The following is a 17,485-nucleotide window of genomic DNA, read 5'->3' on the forward strand; positions in this document are numbered from 1 at the left end:
TCTGAATGGCTGCACCTGCTCCACGCACAGCCAGAGGCCTGACTGCCCTGAGCAGTGCCTGCCAGCAAGACCGAGGGTAGGCGGGCTAAGCACCTGTGGCCTCTCCTTTCATCTTTAGGACAACCTGGGAGGTGAAGAGTGGTGCTGTCTGAGTTGAAGCTCCAAGGCACAGAAGGCGTTGCCGGGCTCACGGCAGTGAGTGGCAGAGGGTGTGCTGGTAGCCACTGCACCTCAGCACTGGAATGTTCCTGTCTCTTTGGGGGTGGGGGCCATGCCACCCCATTGCCTCTTCCCACAATCCTTACCCTTTGCTCTGGTCCCTTTCTAGGCTGTCCTTGGTGAGCAGAGGTGAGCAGAGACTGGCCAGGGGCTGGAGCAATAGGCAGAACTGTTGTGGCATCTTGCCACTAGCGGTTGAATGCTACTAACACTGGTGGGGTTGTGGGGAGGGGTGTCCTTCAAAGTTCTCCTCAGTGGTGTTCCCTGGGGCCTGGGAACCCTTGCCTAGAAACAGTGGTGGTTTGTCTCCATGAGGCAGCATCAGGAACATCTCTCTCATCAGGCAGCATCGGGAACATTCACTGGATGGGCACTTTGTGTTGCCCACCGAGTGAATTCAAAGGCAGCTCTCTCAGGAGGGAGAGGTAAATGCTGTCTCCCCCAGCCTGGTTATGGGTGAAGGCAGAAGCTGTCCCACCCAGCTCCTCTCGCCTTCTTCCTCCACAACGAGCTCTCCATGAGCCAGAGCAGGGAGCACTCCTTCCCAGGACGCTGCTAGGGGAGAGGTTTGCCAGGGCAGGGCTGGAATGCGGGCAAAGATAGAGGCCACCGACAGGGATCGTTATACTTTTAGAAGTCAGAAAAATTGGGACAGGCGGTGTCTCTAGGACAGGCTCCCTGGCCTTTTTCATTTGGATGGTAAGAACTCATCTTTTAAAAGTGGAGGCTGCCTGCTGAGAAGTGGGACAATCCCATCCATGGGGTCACGTCCGCAAGAGTCCCCCGCACCCCTCCATCCCTGGAAACCAACAGCTTCCTCCTCAGCCCGCTCCCTCTGACGTAGAACTCCTTGGGAAAGCAGGATACTGCTTTTAAAGAGTAATCATTGACCTTGAACTCTTAAGATGTGTTTCTCAATTTTCCCCTTTTATCACTATCCGGCTAACATTATGCTGTGTCGTTTCTTGAGTTCCGGTATTTAATACAAAATGTTGAATGAAAACATATTTTGTAAACAGGCTCTACAACTGGGTATGGGAGAAGGGAACATTGTGTCAATCCTGCCCGTCCTTTCTCTAGGCACTTGAAAAACATCCCTGGTATCCCAGCAAGCAGGCAAGATATCACTGTTGCATTCTCTCAACATTCCTGCTCCTCTGGTGCATAAGGCCAACGTGCCTGGGACAAATGTGGTACAGTGTAGGAGTGAAGAATATGGGCTGTGACTCAGTCAGATTAAAATCTCAACTCTGCCACATGCATGAACTGCATGACCCTGTGGGAGGTACTTTTGGAGTCTTGGTTTCTTCATCTGTAAAATGGGAACCACTATCAAAAGGAGGTGAGTGGAGAGACTGCATGTAAATGGAGAATGCATGTAAAATGGCACTGAGATGCACACAAAGGATCAATACATGGTGTGCATTGATCCGATTTGCCGTTCATCACTTGAGCATCTCCTAATTGTGAAAGTCCTGGGGTGTGCGTTCACAGGCTGGTGCAGGTTCATGCTAGGGGCAGGCCCTGTGAGACAGAAGCCCCCTCTTCCTGCAGACCTCCCTGACATCCGCACTCCATTCCTCATCCGTCTCATCTTTCTTCCCAGACTGGTCTTCCTCACTCCACGCCTCCTTCTTTCTCCTGGAGCCCAACTGCCTCCTCCATGGCCCTCCAAGTCCCCACTGCATCAGGCAATCCTTCATGGCCAAGTGTCAGCATCACCAATGCTTCTGGGACGACAGGAGAGGGGAAAGCCACTGGTCTCAACCAACCTCTCCCCTCTGCATTTATCTCAGCCCATCCCCCAGACCATCCTTCAATCCTCCCCTACTCCATAAAAATATTGCACCAACTCCGCAGCTCACATTTGCTCATTTGGTCTGCTTGACTTGCTTACCGCTGCGGTCTCCCTGTCTGAGGCCTCTACTCGAATTGGGATAATTTTGTCTGTGCTTAAAGGCACTGACCTTCCAGATCCCCGGACTTCAGGAATTTGTCCTCATCCCCTCATCAGTCTCTGAAGCACAACCTTATTCAGGGATCTGGTCTTGATCGTCCTAACTGTACAGGGCTGGCCAGTGGGTTTCCAGACCTCTAAATTACTATACCCTTCCTATGCTGTCTGGCTCTCTCTTTCCTTCTCAAGGCCAGCCTGAGAGCTAACAGAATCAGGATTTTGCTTGAAACATGGAGGAAAGCCCAGAGCCCTCCATGGAATCAGCTACTTTCTCAGCATAACATCAACCGACAATAGAAATCAGACCAGGTGTGATCATCATCATGAACATTTATATTTATTTATCAGTTTTGCAAGATCCTATCAAATAAATAATTTCACATATTTCATCCACTCGATAATTAAAATAGTCAGTAGAAGAAAAGACCTGAATGAAGAGCCCAGACCTTTATATTTTCATAGGGATTTGTTTCCCTTTTTGTGGTTCTCATGCACTTACCTATGAGAAATTCCTACAAGCCACTCTTCCTGTTTCAAGACTTTGAAGAACAATGCCTCCTGCGAGTCAGTTAATTCAGAATGGTGGGTTCAAGACAGCCCAGACAGCAATTCTTAGGCCAGCCAAGATGCACCCCATCACCCCTCTCATCTGGTAACAGTCCATCTACGGCAAGCAACTTCCCTCTTCTATGCCAGGGTCTCTCAACCAGGGGACTATTGACATTTTGGGCCAGAGCTTTCTTTGGGAAGGGGGAGGAAAGTGCTGTCCTGTGCACTGTAGGTTGTTTAGCAGCATCTCTGGCCTGTATCCCGCAGATACCAGGAGCACCCCACCCCTGCCCTGGTCATGATGATCCAAAATGTCTCCAGAATTGCCAAATATCCCCTGGGGGAGCAAAATCAACCACCCGACCACCACCCACCCACACACACACCCAAACTTCTTCCTGGCACATCCGTTAGTCCAAGATCAGTGTTGCAAACACCCTTCAGGGAGGACAGGGCTCCAAGGACCATCACCTTTGCTCTTTGTTACCCAATAGAGCCAAGAAAGTAGTTCCTAGCAGCAGCAAGACATGGGAAAACGCTGCCTGCCAGTGAGGCTTGGGGCTCGCAAGGAATACATCCTCACCAAGGCCATAAGACTTCAATTTGTGGATGCTGGAAAACAGGGCATCAGGGAGGCAGGGGTCCACTGCTGAGATGTGTGACTGAGTGAGGTGCAAGGACTGGAGAGGCAGGTATGGACCCTCACCACACTTGATCTTACCTGTGGAAGTCTCCCCAACTTGTGGAAGTCACCAACATAGGATCTGCCAACTGTGTTTGAAAACAACCCCCTCATGGATTGATTCCCCTGGGCTAGTGCACACAGTTCCTCTGACTGCATTCAGCATGCGTTTCTTGACCCACAGTGGACCTTCACAGCAGGGCCCTGGGCCATCTTCGCTGGCTCCTCTCAAGGACTAGAAGGGCCCAGCACCATCCCAGGATAGTCAAGTGCAAATCTCATCAGTCACCCTTCAAGTATTTAACAAGCCCACCCTGTAGATCCTCGCTACACACAGTGTCATCCACAGGCCGGCACAGGGGGAATCCCCTGGGAACTTGTCAGAAAAGAGGACTCTCAACGCCCTGCCCCAGAAGTTCTGAATCTAAGCCTGAACTTTAGCAAATTCCCCAGCTGCTGTCCATGGACATGAAAGTTGAGAAGCCCTAATGGAAGTAATGCAGGAAAGGGAGAAGAGGATCTCCTTCCCTCTAGAAGCTCACACTCCAGCAGAGAAGATGGGATATATAAAAATGAAGGTCAGTACGGTGGCTCATGCCTGTAATCCCAGCACTTTGGGAGGCCAAGGTGGGCGGATCACGGGGTCAGGAGTTCAAGACCAGCCTGACCAACATGGTGAAATCCCCATCTCTACTAAAAATACAAAAATTAGCCAGGCATGGTGGTGCACGCCAGTAATCCCAGCTACTTGGGAAGCTGAGGCAGGAAAATCGCTTGAACCCAGGAGTTGGAGGTTGCAGTGATCCAAGATCGCGCCACTGCACTCCAGCCTGGGCAACAGAGCGAGACTCCGTCTCAAAAAAAAAAATACACACACACGCACACACACAAATTAGCTGGGCATGATGCCATGAGCCTGTAATCCCAACTACTCGGGAGGCTGAGGCAGGAGAATCGCTTGAACCCAGCAGGCAGAGGTTGCAGTGAGCCGAGGTCACACCACTATACTCCAGCCAAAAAGAAAAAAAGGATATATAAAAATGAGGCAAGGGAGCAGAGTGCAAGTCTACACCACCAAGCATGTTTTGGGAGGACGACACCTGGATGCTGAAGACCAAGACTAAGAGCTGCCTTAGCCACTTACTTCTACTGAGCCTCAATTTCCTCATCTGTAAAGTGGGAATAACACTTGCCCTGTCTACCTTACAGGATTGTCCTAAAGATCAAAAAGGATGGGAAAGCACTATTCTGATCTAAAGTACTATTTAATGTTAAAGGTACTCTAAATGCTACAGAGGTTCAGAGAAGAGAGGGCTCCGGGTGACTGGAAGAGTCTGGGAAGATCCAGCAGAGGGAGTTGGGGAGCTGGGAGTACTGAGTCATATGCTAAACCAGGTGCTGCAGTAAATAAAGCAAGATGGAAAAGTGCACATGCTGACCACTGCACCCAACACCGCCTCAAGCCTGGGCCACAGGGAGCTCCCACTGACCTACTTTCACCCACTAACTCCTCACAGTCTATGGAAGAGTAACACAGTGGGTCTCAGAAACACATACAGTGTTCACAAGTGCTTTACAGAAGACACAGAGCAAGCAGAGATGGTCTCTGTGGCAAGGCTGGCAAGAAGCTCAATTGCTGCAAAAGTTATTAACTCTGGGTTGGGGTAGAGGGCAATGGACTTTTTACCATTTTTCAGAGCTGACCTGTGAGGATGGCTAGATACTGCAAGAGGATGCCTGGAGGAGGGAGAGGTAAAAGAAATGAGCCAGTAATTTCTTGGGTAATAGTTTTCCTAGATAATGTTTATGAGCATTTGCTATGTACTTGATGTTTTCATACTTAAAAAAAATTAAACCTCACTATGATCCTATCAGGCAGGGACTTTTGTCCCCACTTCACAGATAAAGAAACTGGAGATTTAGAATTTGAAGCCAGGTTGGTCTGCTTTCCATAGCCCATGATCTTAACTGCAAGCTAAACTTACAGGGTCGTCTGAGAATCTCTGTTCTTCCCTGTGCAGTTGAAACAATCAATGTGGCTGTACTTTTGTTGTAAGACCTGGCTCTTTCCGACTCGCTGACGTTTGCCATGCTTGTCCTGAGCTTCTCCAGAGAAATGCTGTCTTCTGGCAGGAAAAGATAAAAACGGCTGATATAAATGAGTCACCACACTCGCTATAATTAACAGTGATGCAAGAGCCAGATGCAAAATAAGAGGGGCCTCTGGACCTGACTTTTAGGCTGCCCAAACTTTGAGCTGCACTTCAATGTAAAACAGTCTCCATAGCTAGGCTTCCATCTGTTTGAGACGCATTTTAAATGAAGAAATAAAACCCGGAATGCATGCAAGCCCCAAGATAATGGAGCTGAGAGGGGCTGCACCAAATTAATCTCCTTATTTACAATTCAAAAACCATACACCAGAACAGAAAGAGAGTTTATAGTTTATAGATAATATAGATCTTTGCTTTCACACTCAGTTGCCCTGGAAAGGCTGAGCAGTTTTCAATCTGCTGAGCTGATTTATAGCAAGTACAGCTGTAAATTCAATTGTACTAGGTGTTCAGCCTATGCCCTCCCAGTGATGTATCTGAACTTTTCAAAAGGACTAGTTGTCATTAACATCTCTCTATTTTCTTTTGCTGATCTGGGATGATGGGATGCAATGACAATCTGCTTAAAATAAACCTTAAAACCTTAAAACATAATCACCACATCATCCACAAACCCCATTCAACCACAGCATGAGCACAATCACTCTGTAACACAAGGTGAAGATATTCTCTGTTGCTTCTAGGACATATAAGTCCCTCCTGAAGTTTGACAGAGAGAAATAAATTGTGGTCAGGACCTGGATAGGCTCACTAGTAGCCGTCGATGTCGGTGGCGTCTTCTCTTACCTGTTTAAAAGAGGCTCAGTGGCCTTGAGATTTGAACACAATACAGCTGATGGAATCTTGCCACTTTCCTTTTGAATAGACTTTAATTGAGAGCAAAGTGAAAAATGCAGGTTACAATTTTAAGTGTTATCATCAATATCTTGTAAGATCAACACCCAGTGATGCATCTAGTACTTATACAGTCCTAATTTTAGTTGTCAAAGAGCAAATCATTATCAGACATATATTTACACAGTAATTTCAAGCAACGGTAAATAATAAATTCCCTCCCTTAAAAAACAAAACACAACACAACACACACACACACACACACACACACACACACACGACCATCTTTAAACAATGGATTTCCTCACCCAGTAAGTCTCATTTTTTTCACATATACTTGTAGACCCAAAGGTCCTTAAGTTACTTAAAAACAGTCTTATCAGTGGAGATCCTGGACCATCCCCTATTTTCTTTTAAAGTCACTTTCATTTTTACAACTTGAAGCCATATACCAGCATGGTTTTTATACACTAAGGACACTCCCAGTGATGAAAATGAATTCCCCTCCATTTGTGCAAGGAGGTATGTACATCTATAAAGACACATATGATTACCACTCAAAAGAGTCAAAAACATACACAAAAAAATCTCAGATCTTCATAGTTTCTTAAGAGCAGTGTGCCAGTGTTCACATTGAATTAACTGAATGGTAAAATTCTTTTAGATTTCTATACAGAGGTACTGGTTAGTTCTGATTTTTTCTTCAGCTGCTTGAAATGCATGAGCTTTAAAAGTTGCCTGGCAGAACTACATCCTGCTTTCCAGGTTAGCAGCCTGGCTGACCTCGGGAATGTTAGACAAGATTCACCCCCGATGCCTTGCTCTCTGATTTATTTCTTGCTGTTGCTGTTAGTAAATGGAAACCATGACAAAGTTTACATTAGCAGACACATACACATGCCCTGGCCTATAAATATTCCATGATAGAAAATGGTACAATAATTCCATCCCCAGCGAAAACGAGCATAAAAAAAGAAGGGAAGGGTCAGGGGGACATGATCAGCTATGGCTCTTCTTACAGTAGAAAATCCACACCAAATGGCAATGGGCTTTTAACTAACCAGACATTGTTAGCTGCTTCTCCAGGGCCTGTGAGTCAACTAAAAGTAGGCAGGGCAGAGACCAACTCTTCCAGGCACACCTGGTAGTTTCCAGAAGCACCGGTATCTTGTCTTGGAAGTTGGATGAAGAAGATCAACTGAAGTTTCCTTTTTAGTGAGGAGGAGTGGAGAGTCAGACTTGAAAGCAGTTCACACACTGTGCTGCCTGGGACACTGAACGGTCCCCGAGGGAGACCCCTCAAAGCGCCAGCTGGAGTTTGGTCATGTTTCTCTGATGCATGTTGTGATGGCGGACTAATTCATCTGACCGGGCAAACTTTTTCTGACAACTTGGCCACCGACAGCTGAAGGGCTTTTCACCTGTTGACACAATTGCCAGTCAGAGACACTTGCAACAAAGAGACAGGCACAAGTTCAACTATCAAGGCCCGAGTGAAGTCATCACAAGGCACCCACTCTGAATTTCCCATCATTCTGTCCCTGAGCTAACCAACTGAGCTCATTTCCCAGGCAGCCTTGAAACAGCAGCACCTCTTGGGGCTTTAAGGATCGAAATATTGTAAAAAGTTATATTCTTAGGTCAGAAAACTTGGAAAGTGGGAGATAAAGAATGAGTCAAGTTGGGGGAAATGTCTGAGCAATTCATAATTAAGGGGAAAAACGTTTGTTTCAGTCTCTGCTGATAGAATGTTTTGTGAACTGTGTAAATTTCTCCCCCTTGTTGAGTAAGTTGGGAACTGAGATGAACTGGGCTGCAGAAGCCTCTGGGTCATCTACCCTGGGTATTACTGAGTGATCACTGTCCAGGGATCTCAGCTGTGACTGAAGCTTTTAACACTTCTATCTGTGTAGATACCCTGGATGGGCTGGATACTTTAAAATAAATCACTGATACCAGTTTACATGTTATGTGTTGTTTTTTTTTTTCTCTTAAAGTGTTACTGAGAGCATAATCCTGTTATATGGAAGATTCTAGTTGGGGCGTGGTTCTTAGATTTTTAATAAGCTTGCCAAAAGATTGAGGCTTCTCCACCCAAAGAGCCCTCAGACATTCTTTCCAAGCCTCATTCTCATTAGGGAGAATAACTACCATTTATTTGATGCTTAACATATGCCAAGCCTTGTGCTGGGCTTCACACACGCACACACACAACCTCATGTACTCCTTACAACTGCCCGTAGGGGAAGCGTTATTATCCCCACTCTACAGATGAGGTAGGACATCTATTGAGGGCAGATCCAGGCAGAACTCAAATCTCCAGGTCTGTCGAATTCCAGAGCCCGTGCTCTTCCCTGTATCACACCTCCCAGGCCTAGCCATGATGGAAAAGCAGCTGCAGCTCCATCTTAAGGAAGAATGCACAGAAGCTAAACCCTGTGCCACCTGACGGATCTTCTCAGATACTGCTGGTCCCACTTGGCCTTCTCTGAGAACTACTGGTTTGGACAAGCACTGAGAAATGTCCCAGGAGGGCTGGTGTCCCAGGGTCAGACTGGAGGCCAATCAAATGTGGTATTAAACAGTCTGCTGGCAAAACAGGTCATGTCACACTTACTTGGGGAGTGTGACAGCCGTGTCAAAGGGACTATAACACTTTGCCACCGAATTATGAGCTCAGGACTAAGTTAAAGAAGCATCAAAGGCACCTGAGGAAGGGAAGCAAGATCCCATCCTGCCAACCATGGGCCACAGGTGCCTTGGCTCTGTTTTTAAATGCAGCCAATTTGGGCGAAGAATCTGGGGCTGCTCAGGGGTTTGTGATGTCATGTTTTCCTTCACTCGCTGTTCCTCTGCTCTTCCTGGCCTGGCTCTCACTCTCCAACCCCACCTCCAGCAGTGCTGTTAAGGGCTGGCTCCTAATGGACTAATCCCAACCCTGTCTCTTGTCATCTTCATTCCTCTCAGTCTCTCAGTGGTGTTCAGCTTTGCTGACTTTGATTCTCTACTTGACTCTCCATGCTCCCTGGACTGCAGAGTAAATATCTGCCCCTTCTCCAATAAAGAAGCAAGTGGGACAAGGTGGGCTGGAAGCAGACAGAACTGGATTTGCTCCTTACTAGCTTTGTGACTTTAGATAAGCCATTGAATTATTATTGCCTCAGTCTCCTCATCTGTAAGATGGGAATAAAACATGCCTACCTCATTTTTTTTTGTTTGTTTTGTTTTGTTTTGTTTTGAGACAGGGTCTTGCTCTGTTGCTTGGGTTGGAGTACAGTGGTGGGATCACAGCTCACTGCAGCCTCAGCCTCCCAAGCAAGGTCTAGTGAGCGTCCTACCTCAGCCTCCCCCAAATAGCTGGGACTATAGGTCCACACCACCATGCCCAGCTAGTTTTTGTATTTTTTGTAGAGACAGGGTTTTGCCATGTTGCCCAGGCTAGTCTTGAACTCCTGGGCTCAAGTGATCCACCCACCTCATCCCAAATAGCTGGGATTACAGGCATGAGCCACCACAGCCGGTCCTACCTTACTCTACTTACAAGCATGTTGTGAAGATAGACTTAGATAAGCTAAATATTAACGCTCTTTCCAAAGGTAGAAAATATGCAACAAAGGTGGTGCTATTTTTATTATGAATCACACCAGCCTTGCAGAAAGCAAAAACCTTCAGCAGCCAGTAAATGAATGCCCTATTCTCCTCTCTGTACTAGTATGAAGGAAATAATATCCACACACTGATACTGGTCCAGCAGAAACCAAGACCGCTCCTGGTGCATTAACTTTTAACAGAGCAAGGACTCAGTTCTCTGAAAATAGTGCCATTAAACATGTGCTCTCAGAAGAATAAATATTTGGCTTGCTAGAATTTCTGCTGCTTTTCTGTAAAGTTGATTATCGTATCAAAGAGAGTAACAAAATGTGTGATGCAACAAACTGGAAACAGTAGGGACCTGGCTTATCTCTTCATTTTCATTCTGCACACTCCAGCCATTCTTTTCCCATCTTTCTCCTTCTCTGTATTTCCACCCTCCCCTTCTTTAAAAAATGTTATTATTTATTATTTAAAGATAGCCACGCACTATTCCTTCTCTCAACTGAGTCTAAACCTTAGAACTTTTACACTAGTCTTTTCCAATCCCTCTCATCACAATTTCATTCCACAATAGTTTAAAAAAATAATGAAAAATAAATGTGAAGAAAAGTTTACGCACTTGTTTTACCTGTATGAGTCCTGGTGTGGGTCTTCAGGTGGTCGGACCGGGAGAACTTTCGCTGACAAGTTTTACACTGGAATGGTTTCACACCTAAATGGACAGAGAAGGTCTAGCCTCGGCCCTAACAATGTGGGCACAGTGAGGCCCACAAGGCTGACTTCCGGCAGCTGGAGGAGCCCAGCATTTCCTGCCATGCCTGCAATGTCTGCATCTGCCTCACCCTTAGATTTCCCCAGTCCCCCAGGCCCAACAAGAATCACTGATTCTGCACAGTAATCTTCAAGGACCTGCTTCTGTCTTGGGAACAACCATTCCTTAACCACAGAGGTCCAGCTTCTCACCAGCTGGAAGATCTCAGCTGTGTCAGAGACAGGAAAAGTGAATCACACGCTACAAATTGGATTCCGCTCTCCATCACCCTCATTCTTTGCTGATGCTCAGTGTATCATCAGCCCACTGCTAGTGGGATCTCACTGTTCTGTGGTTTGCAGGGGAAATGTGGGGTGTTTCCTTTTCTTTCTTTTTCTTTATTTAAGAGGAGGAACATCTCCAGAGATTATGGGGGGAAAATACTGGAAAAACTAAACACATGGCTGACTCTCTCATTCATATTCAACAACAAAGAGAATCATGAAATCAACCCTAGCCCAAGGGAACACAGCTGCCAGCAATGAGAAGTGAACCTACAAACCTGTATGTCTCCTTTGGTGTCTTTTGAGCTGGTCTGAACGAGAAAACCTTCGTTCACAGTCCTTGAAGTCACACTGGTATGGTTTCTCACCTTGGGGAAGACACATATTCTATTTGAAAATGATACTGGAAAAGGGGATCTCATTAAAGGCAACCTCTCCTACTAGGACTGAACAGATCCCAAAATGCCTAAGGCACTTCGCTGGAGCTTGTTAGGGTAGGATGATCCCCAACTTGCAAGTTACAAATGAATGGGAGCTCAGGGGCCAGAGGATTCTGCCCCAAGGCTCACATCTAGCTCTGCCATTAAAAAAAAAAAAAAAGCCCTGGGTGAGGTGTGGTTTCTTTATTGTAAAATGGGTCCAATAATCCAACAACTTTAAAGGATTTATGACCTTCACATAAAGGGCTCAGCCCAGAGCCTGGCATAGAAGGCGTGCTCAAAAACTATTAGCAAATAAAAAACAAAATCTTTAACTCCCAGGCAGAATCTGAGGCAGAATTCTGGGATGCATGTGCCTTGAGGTCAACCTCATGAAATAAGAGTTTTATGTTTTAGGGCCCAAAGATCTGGTGTTCTTTGCTACTGACTCCTTGTTCTTGCATCAAGCAAATATGACTCCATGGTTGTGAGACCCTCAAAACACACCAAAAGCACTGAGAAAGTTTTTGGTGTGCTTTATCCAAGAGAAGTCAGTAGTGGGATTACCCAACCTCCTGTCTCAGAATGGAGAAGCCTCACCCCTGTCCTCACTAGAGAAAGTTCAGCCAAATACTGGGACCTGAGCCCCAAGAGAAGTGAGCAACCCCAGGCCTTCCCACCTTCTTAGGAGAATCCTGAGTCACAGGCATCTGGGATGGAAACAAGCCATTCTAGAATCAGTCAGGTCTTTCTGTTGCAAAGGCAGCCCCCTGTTACCTTTCCAATCTCAAAGCCTGGGCTATTTCCCTCATGAATCTCTATTCCCCACTATGCCAGAGCTCACATCCTGAAGTCCTCCTTGCACTCTGCTCACACTAAATGTCCCCCATCCCTATCTCCACATCGAAAAGTCTCCTGGGTGTCTCCTTCTTCTGCAATGCCTGCTTGGAAACTGCATGGGCCAATTTCCCTTCCTTCCCTCATTACGACATTTATTCCAGGCTGTCTAATGTGGTGAGCTGTGTCTGGGTCTACAATTCTACAATTCTTCAATGGGTTGGAAAATCCTAAGGGCTGGAGCCTTTTTATTTTTATTTTTTCTCAGAGACAGAGTCTCTCTCTGTTGCCCAGACTAAAGCGCAGTGGTGTGAGCCTAGCTCACTGCAGCCTCGAAACCGTGGGCACAAGCAATCCTCCTACCTCAGCCTCCTGAGTAGCTGGGACTACAGGCATACACCAGCACACTTGGCTAAATTTTTAAAAATATTTTTTTTAGAGACAGGGTCTCACTATATTGCCCAGGCTGGTCTTGAACCCCTTAAGCAATCCTCCCGCCTACGCCTCCCAACATACTGGGATTACAGGTGTGAGCCACTGCACCTGGCCCCTTTCTTTGTATTTGTATCCAGGTTGGTGCCTTATGTTTCACCTCTGTGAGCTGGAGAAGATGTTACCCCTATTGAGTCTGATTTCCTTCCCCTGCCTTTGAGCTTCTGCTCATCTATCACTTTCTCTGCCCAAACTACCAGCCTCCACTGGCTAACCCAAGCTGTTCTTCCTCTGAGAAACTTTCTCGGATGACCTTAGTTCAAACTGATACCCTCCAAACCCCTCGGTACCTCCTGTCTCTGATTTAGTACATGATCATGTACTCTCTCAGTCACTTTTCATTTCTTTATATCCTAGCTCCCAAACAAACCAGGAACTCTTTGAGAAGGAGGATTATAACCTGCAGTTAAAAAGAAGGAGTTTGAGTCCTCTTTCTGCTATATCCTATACTCTTCATAAATGTTTTGTGAGTGAGGATTAAATGAAATATACATGTAGAGAGCCTGACACCCAAAAAGTACTTAATATAACAGTCTGTACTGTTGTTATAAATAAATAAGAAAATATTGCTCTCTTTCAAGGGGGACTGTAGGATTGTTAAATACCAACCTGCCCTCATCTTCTGCAAGGAAGAGTTTCTTAAAGGCTCCAGTGGGTCTGGGGTTTTGGCTGTCTTGTTCACTGCCTTCCCTTCACACAGTTGTCTAACCCTCACTGCATTCTAAGTGCTTCTCTCTCACTAAAAGTTTCTACAACCATATTGCCTTCATTTATTCCCTTGCATTTTTCAGGCAGGACTTTACTTTCTCGTTTTCCTTATAACCTTGACAGTCACTTTTCAAATGATCCCATTTGGGGAAATGTGTAAAAACATAACATGCCACTGGTCCCCTCCTTTTTAGCCTCAAAGTCTGTGGCCCACTGAGTGCAAACTCAGATTGACACCAGAATTGCATCCTCTGGACACAGTGAATTAGCAAATTTCAATGGTCCAAGGAAATCTGAATGCAGCTCACTTTTTTCTCCAGCTTCCCAAGAGCAAAATCAGCAGTAATAACACAGTTGCAACAGTGATCCTATAATAATGCTGTTCTTCGATTGTGGAAAAGGCAGCAGTAGCTCCTCTGTAGGAAAACCTGGGTTTTACCACACTCCCACACTCCCACCTAGTGCCCACAAGGCCCAGAGTAAACGTTCTGTGACATGGCTGTCCACATTCAAGGTGGCCAACACCAAACAATGCCAGTTCTCTGTTTCCCAGAAGCAGCCTCTCTGACCTGGGGGAAAATCCAGTTTCATTGGCGTATCTTCAAAGATAAAAAATCATCATCTCTCTCTCTCCTTTTTTTTTTTTTTGGCAGAGTCTTGCTCTGTCGCCCAGGCTGGAGTACAGTGGTAAGATCTCAGCTCACTGCAACCTCTGCCTCCTAGGTTCAAGCAATTCTCCTGCCCCAGCCTCCCAAGTACAGGTGCGTGCCACCACACCCGGCTCATTTTTGTATTTTTAGTAGAGACGGGGTTTCACCTTGTTGGCCAGGCTGGTCTCCAACTCCTGACCTTGGGTGATCCACCCACTTCGGCCTCCCAAAGTGCTGGGATTACAGGCGTGAGCCCCCATGACTGACCTTTTTTTTTTAAGTGATCACTAAAAAATCAAACTAACAATCAATTTTCCCCTTCCTGTCTAGTTGATTATTACTGACCCAAGCAGGTAAGTTTTTCTTTGGACCATCTCTTCTAAAATTTCACAATGATCTTGCCCATCGACCTCCTAAAACCATCTGATGACTATATTCCCAGGCCAGCTCCTCTCTCCTTAGAAATGCTAATAGTATTCTAACACCAACACGATTCCTACACAGGTCTCTTTAATTCTGTGGCACTTTCTCTCTACCACTCTGCTCTGCCTTTCTGGAAGACAGTTTACTGACCTCTGTAATAAAGGATAGATAATCAGAATGCAAAATGGCCCCACAGCCTCTTTACAACACCTGGATCAGACCTTTCAAAGCAGTGCTTACTTTCCATCCTGGAAATAACCTGGGTCCTTAGCAGTGTGAGAGCCTGGAAAAGGAGCTCTTGAACCATGTTTGCCCAAGACTGGACAGCGGGCACACTTACCAGTGTGCTTCCTGCTGTGCATCTGTAAGTGGGACAGCTTAAAATATCTCTTATTGCAGCCTGGGTAAGCACACATGAAGGGGCGTTTCTCACTGGTCTCAGATGCCGACCGTACAAGAGTCGGGGCTACTCCAGGCACACGTCGCACATCCTGCAGGCAGAGAGTAAGAGGAAGGGAGGCTTTAAGCCACATGTGAACATTCACGTAGGTCTTGAGGGAGAGTGAGCACTGGAGTATATCCAAAGAAGGGGTGGCAGGTGCAGACCTAAAACCACTCCCATTCACACTCCAGATCCCCATGGCAGACATCAGTAATGGATGCTAGATCAGGACATTCTACAATGCAGTGCTCTAAGATCATCACTACTGAGCAACCAGAAGTGGCTGTTGAGATGAAACCTACATGAAATGGCTGTCCCAGAGCCTCTGCAAAAGAAATGCTGGTACCTGGAAGAGCTCCCAATCCATTCTATCTCTCAGCTTCTCCTCTTGAGGTAGTGATGTCTGCAAGTCCAAAGTCCCAAAGTCTAACTACTCCCTCCCACTTGGAGTCATGACCACATGACCTAGAGCCAGTCTGCAATGGGTGGGGACATCCTTATTAGAAAAAAGTGGGATAATGAATGAGCCCCTAACTGACCAGATCGTCCAAGTATAAGTAAATAACAAGGAAGAAGAAGCCCCTGGATTTGGGGATCCCATCTGTGAAAGGAAGCAAAACCCACCAGAAGGCCATGGTGAAGCCAGCACAACCTTTAATAGTGAGGCCAGAAAGCACTGGAATCCATCTGCCTTCTGTGCTCTGCACACGTCCTTTGCAGGGCATCTGTTGCTCCCCTTTATCTTGTGGAAGTGCAGTGTGTGTGTTGTCAGTCTTCCAAGAATAAGAACTGGAGGAAAACAAAGAGGCAAGCTCCCCTTCCTCTTCTTGGGGTCAGGGAGTCATAAATGGGAGCTGAGCAAGTGCCTGAGTGGCCACTAAATTCTCCTCATTCCTTTATAGATGAGTAAATCAACCCCAAAGGCGGTGAGATGCTGACACAAGAGTGCATCCATGTTTTGGTTTTGTTTGTTCTTAAGACAGGATCTTATTCTGTTGTCCAGGCTGGAGTGCAGTGGCACGATCGGGGCTCCTGCAGCCTCGACCTCACCAGCTTAAGTAATCCTCCCACTTCAGCCTCCTGAACAGCTGGGACAACAGGTGAGAGTCATCATGCCCAGCTAATTTTTTTTTTTTTTTTTGGTAGAGATAGGGTCTCCCTATGTTGCTCAGGCTGGTCTCAAACTCTTGAGCTGAAGGGATCCTTCCACCTTGGCCTCCTAGAGTGCTGGGATTACAGGTGTGAGCCACCATGCCTGGCCTAAAGTGCATCCATGTTTTGTGCTAAGACCTGGAACCACTTCTGAATATAACCAACTCCTTGCCCTGTGCATTTTCCACTCTACCCCATGCTTATGTTCTAGTCCCTATTTCACATTGCCCTGCACTGAAAGGTCATTTTCTTTTTTGGAAGAATAAATGCTGCAGTGACATACAACACAACATTGATGTTAATAGGCCATAGTGTCTCAGGGATAATGAAGGCATAAAATTAAATGGTGAGCCAGCTGTTGGATTGGAATACTCAATACCTGTCTGGTCTGGAGTGTTTTAGAGGCCATGGCAAGTGAGCCTGACAAACTGGGCTTGATGGGAAAGAAAGCAAAGGAAGCATTTTCCATTTCCCTTAATTCATCCTAGAAGCAGTGCACATGGGAACAGGAGTTGTTAATCTCAGTAAGGGTCCCGGTGAAGGATTCTGATTGTATTCGTCAGGGGAGAGGCTTGATGTCTCCCTAAACCGTCGTCAGATTTCCGTATTTCTGTAACCCTTGCCTTTATTGCTCTCCATTGAAAGGCTTGGGAGTAGGGAGCACACTGTTCTTTCTTCGTGACACTTCTGGAAACATTAATCAGAACATCTCAGAGCTACTTGCCCCACGTATCATGTGGGGTCTGGCCCAGATACAACTTATATCTAGAGTACTGACCATTCTGGTGAAAGTATCACTGCTGTTACTCAGGTTGCAGCCATGGATTGATGTTTATAAGCCATAAATGAAACCCTTAGTAACTGTATGTGCTTCTGACCACCCAAAACAGAGACTCTGCAGGGAAGGCAGACTGAAGGTCTACGGAGGTGGCAGACCAAAAGTGTCTATTGAATTCTCCAAAACTTTTACCTTTATACTTTACTTTCTTCATGCTCCTTGGAGACTTCTCCCTCCCACAAACTGTTCACCATCCTCTGCCTCCCTAAGAAGCAGTATCGTGAAGTAGGTATAAACAGGGGGTCTGAAGTCAGGCAAGACCTGTGTTATTAGTCTCGGCTCCAATATTTACTAGCGATGTGATTCTGACATTATTCATCACCTCTGGGCTTCAGTTTCCCCATCCATGAAATGGAGAGAATAACAGTACCCACCTCATAAGTGTGTATTGCAGATGAAATGAAGGGGGAAAGGCCACAAATAGACAAGGAGAAACCTTACATGCATATTGCTAAGAGAAAGAAGTCAGCCTGAAAATGCTACATCTAGTATGATTCCAACTATATGACATTCTGAAAAAAGACCGAGCCGGGCACAGTG

The 17,485-nt window shown here is 46.2% G+C and overlaps 1 protein-coding gene across 20 annotated transcripts in view, besides 6 other annotated features; it reads right to left on the minus strand.

The window, feature by feature from the left end:
• Positions 5,470-5,614: an enhancer, noted in NCBI's record as "145 bp enhancer 75 fragment used in the MPRA reporter construct; PK_construct_4063". NCBI's record gives its function as "activates an SV40 promoter by MPRA in K562 cells {active_cell/tissue: K562}" and the evidence as "EXISTENCE:reporter gene assay evidence [ECO:0000049][PMID:23512712]".
• Positions 5,470-5,840: a biological region, named in NCBI's record as "WT1 3' enhancer". NCBI's record gives its function as "regulatory_interactions: WT1".
• Positions 5,492-5,749: an enhancer, noted in NCBI's record as "e258 fragment". NCBI's record gives its function as "enhancer in K562 hematopoietic cells {active_cell/tissue: K562}" and the evidence as "EXISTENCE:reporter gene assay evidence [ECO:0000049][PMID:7890725]".
• Positions 5,492-5,840: an enhancer, noted in NCBI's record as "e351 fragment". NCBI's record gives its function as "enhancer in K562 hematopoietic cells {active_cell/tissue: K562}" and the evidence as "EXISTENCE:reporter gene assay evidence [ECO:0000049][PMID:8132626, PMID:7890725]".
• Positions 5,534-5,551: a transcriptional cis regulatory region, noted in NCBI's record as "GATA motif; MPRA enhancer activity is reduced when this motif is scrambled". NCBI's record gives its function as "necessary for full MPRA enhancer 75 activity {active_cell/tissue: K562}" and the evidence as "EXISTENCE:site-directed mutagenesis evidence [ECO:0005528][PMID:23512712]".
• Positions 5,538-5,568: a protein binding site, noted in NCBI's record as "GATA distal sites probe". NCBI's record gives the evidence for it as "EXISTENCE:protein binding evidence [ECO:0000024][PMID:7890725, PMID:19212333]".
• The window catches only part of WT1 (WT1 transcription factor), a 47,765-nt gene continuing 36,651 nt past the window's right edge, over positions 6,372-17,485 (minus strand). For 9 of the 20 annotated variants that reach the window (NR_160306.1, NM_001407050.1, NM_001407045.1 and 6 more), the window contains 4 exons: positions 14,854-15,004; positions 11,263-11,352; positions 10,569-10,661; positions 6,372-7,776 (listed from right to left, as the gene is read on the minus strand). Coding sequence is in view for 18 of the 20 variants with exons in the window: in NM_001407050.1 (NP_001393979.1) it covers positions 7,655-7,776; positions 10,569-10,661; positions 11,263-11,352; positions 14,854-15,004 (456 nt within the window). In the remaining 2 variants the exon portion in view is untranslated. The remainder of the gene's footprint in view (positions 7,777-10,568; positions 10,662-11,262; positions 11,353-14,853; positions 15,005-17,485) is intronic. The other 11 variants (NR_176266.1, NM_001407047.1, NM_000378.6 and 8 more) reach the window with 3 other exon arrangements.

This window comes from Homo sapiens, chromosome 11, assembly GCF_000001405.40.
Source record: "Homo sapiens chromosome 11, GRCh38.p14 Primary Assembly".
Lineage (NCBI taxonomy): Eukaryota > Metazoa > Chordata > Mammalia > Primates > Hominidae > Homo > Homo sapiens.